At 48.2% G+C, this 3,205-nt stretch overlaps 1 annotated feature.

The window, feature by feature from the left end:
* Positions 2,061-2,600: an enhancer, noted in NCBI's record as "H3K27ac-H3K4me1 hESC enhancer chr4:170966616-170967155 (GRCh37/hg19 assembly coordinates)". NCBI's record gives its function as "activates a minimal SCP1, AML or CMV promoter by ChIP-STARR-seq in primed H9 embryonic stem cells {active_cell/tissue: H9 hESC(primed)}" and the evidence as "EXISTENCE:reporter gene assay evidence [ECO:0000049][PMID:30033119]".

Consider the following 3,205-nt stretch of genomic DNA (forward strand, 5'->3'; position numbering starts at 1 on the left):
TTTTATTAAGAAAAGGAACTCCGATACTTAGGCACATGAAACTTTTCCACCTTCAGATTAATCACCTTAATTAATCTTAAGAGTGGATATGTAGGCCAGGCAGGGTGGCTCATGCCTGTAATCCCAGCACTTTAGGAGGGCGAGACAGGCGGATCATGAGGTCAGGGGTTCGAGACTAGCCTGGCCAATATGGTGACACTCCGTACAAAAATTAGCCAGACGTGGTGGCGCTTGGCTGTAGTCCCAGCTACTCAGGAGACTGAGGCAGAAGAATCAGTTGAACCCAGGAGGCGGAGGTTGAAGTAAGTCGAGATCGCGCCACTGTACTCCAGCCTGGTGACAGAGTGAGACTCTGTCTCAAAAAAAAAAAAAAAAAAGTGGATGTGTGAACGTGTTGGGGTGGAGTTGAGCAGTGAGGTAGCAATGAGTCTGTTAATTATTGAGTACTCAGCTGACTATACATTGTCCAAAAAGCAAACCAGCCGCCATTTTCCACTTTGATAACATAAGCAAATTGCTGGGAATGTATATTCAATCATGTATTTGGGAATTTGAGAGTTTCCAGGGACATCAGACTCTATTGGGCCTGTCTCTGTGACAAGGTTATGTGTGAAGGCAAGAACCTTTTCTTTTACTTCTTAAAGCCCAGCATAATTCTGGGGACAGAGGCATGCTTATTAATGCATTACATTAGCATTAGTGAAGCCAGAGATTTCCTTAATGTAAATAAAGTAAATAAAGAAAAATGTGGCCAGGCACAGTGGCTCACACCTGAAATCCCAGCACTTTGGGAGTCTCAGGCAGGCGGATCACTGGAGGTCAGGAGTTCGAGTTCAGCCTGGCCAACATGGTGAAACCCTGTCTCTACTAAAAATACAAAAATTAGCTGGGCGTGGTGGTGGGCGCCAGTAATCCCAGCTACTCAGGAGGCTGAGGCAGGAGAAGGCTTGAACCCAGGAGGCAGAGGTTGCAGTGAGCCAAGATCACGCTACTGCACGCTAGTCTGGGAGACAGAGTGAGACTGTCTCAAAACAGAAAAAAAGAAAAATGTGTTCTTACTGTAATAGACTCAGTAAATATTTTGCAACTAAACATAAATTTACTATAATTACCAAGTGGAGTTTGTCATTTTAATTTTGAATAGTATGTACTACGGTTTGAGTATGCCCTCCAAAACTCATGTTGAAATTTAATTGCCATTGTGACAGGTTTTTTGTTTTGTTTTGTTTTAGCTTTTGTTTTTTTGAGATGGAGTTTTGCTCTTGTCACCCAGGCTGGAGTGCAATGGCCTGGTCTCAGCTCACTGCAACCTCTGCCTCCCAGGTCAAGCGATTCTCCTGTCTCAGCCTCCCAAGTAGCTGGGCTTACAGGTGCCTGCCACCACGCCCTACTAGTTTTTGTATTTGTAGTAGAGACGGGGTTTCACCATGTTGCTCATGCTGGTCTCGAACTCCTGACCTCAGGCAATCCACCTGCTTCGGCCTCCTAAAGTGCTGGGATTACAGGCATGAGTCACCATGCCCAGCCTATGACAGGTTTAATAGGTGGGACCATTAAGAGGTGTTTAGGCCATGAAAGCTCTGCCCTCATGAATAGATTAATGTTGTTATTGTAGGAGTGGGTTTGTTATAAAAGCAAGTTTGGCCCTCTCGTGCTCTCACCCCCTCTTGCCCTTCTGCCTTCTGCCATGGGATCATGCTGCACTAAAGTCTTCACCACATGTCAGCATCATGCACTTGGACTTCCAGGACTCCAGAACCATGAGCCAAATAAACTTCTTTTCCTTATAAATTACCTAGCTTGTGGCATTCTGTTATAGCAACACAAAATGGACTAAGTATGTGACATATGCTTTTAAATGTTATAAAAATTGCAACCATACATTAACCGTTCTAAAACATTGAAAGTAATATTTCTTTAGAGTGAATGAAAACTTATACATTTGAAAAAAATGAATGAGACTTCTGAGGTATGTAATATAAAATTATACAGGCCTGACATAGGAAGGCAAAATAAATTAAATATCTTAATTGGAAAATTGATATTTAACTGTATTTGCCCCCCTATGACTTAAGAGTAGTCTAGACATTATACTTTTCTATCTAGTGTGCTGAAATATGTCTTGATGGTAAATTCAAGTAATAGCTACACGTGTCTTGTATTTTTGCAGTTAGTTGAATGAACAGGTTTAGTTATCATTAGTCATAGAACTCCAGGCCACGGTATGATTAAATAATATTCAATTTATAATTCATTCTAAATATGAGTTTTATATTTAGATTCCTGTTGAGATATCACATAGAATAAAATAATTTAGCTCTCCCTCTCCCTCTCTCCCTCTCTCCCTCTCCCCACAGTCTCCCTCTCCCTCTCTTTCCACGGTCTCCCTCTGATGCCGAGCCGAAGCTGGACTGTACTGCTGCCATCTTGGCTCACTGCAACCTCCCTGCCTGATTCTCCTGCCTCAGCCTGCCGAGTGCCTGCGATTGCAGGCGCGCGCCACCACGCCTGACTGGTTTTCGTATTTTTTTGGTGGAGACGGGGTTTCGCTGTGTTGGCCGGGCTGGTCTCCAGCTCCTAACCGCGAGTGATCCGCCAGCCTCGGCCTCCCGAGGTGCCGGGATTGCAGACGGAGTCTCGTTCACTCAGTGCTCAATGGTGCCCAGGCTGGAGTGCAGTGTCGTGATCTCGGCTCACTACAACCTCCACCTCCCAGCCGCCTGCCTTGGTCTCCCAAAGTGCCGAGATTGCAGCCTCTGCCCGGCCGCCACCCAGTCTGGGAAGTGAGGAGCGTCTCTGCCTGGCCGCCCATCGACTGGGATGTGAGGAGCCCCTCTGCCTGGCTGCCCAGTCTGGAAAGTGAGGAGCGTCTCTGCCCAGCCGCCATCCCATCTAGGAAGTGAGGAGTGTCTCTGCCCGGCCGCCCATCGTCTGAGATGTGGGGAGCGCCTCTACCCTGCCGCCCGGTCCGGGATGTGAGGAGCATCTCTGCCCGGCCGCCCTGTCTGAGAAGTGAGGAGACCCTCTGCCTGGCAACCGCCCCATCTGAGAAGTGAGGAGCCCCTCCGCCCGGCAGCCGCCCTGTCTGAGAAGTGAGGAGCCCCTCCGCCCAGCAGCCACCCCGTCTGGGAAGTGAGGAGCGTCTCCGCCCGGCAGCCACCTCGTCCGGGAGGGAGGTGGGGGGGTCAGCCCCCCGCCCGGCCAG

Source organism: Homo sapiens, chromosome 4 (assembly GCF_000001405.40).
Source record: "Homo sapiens chromosome 4, GRCh38.p14 Primary Assembly".
Classification (NCBI taxonomy): Eukaryota; Metazoa; Chordata; class Mammalia; order Primates; family Hominidae; genus Homo; species Homo sapiens.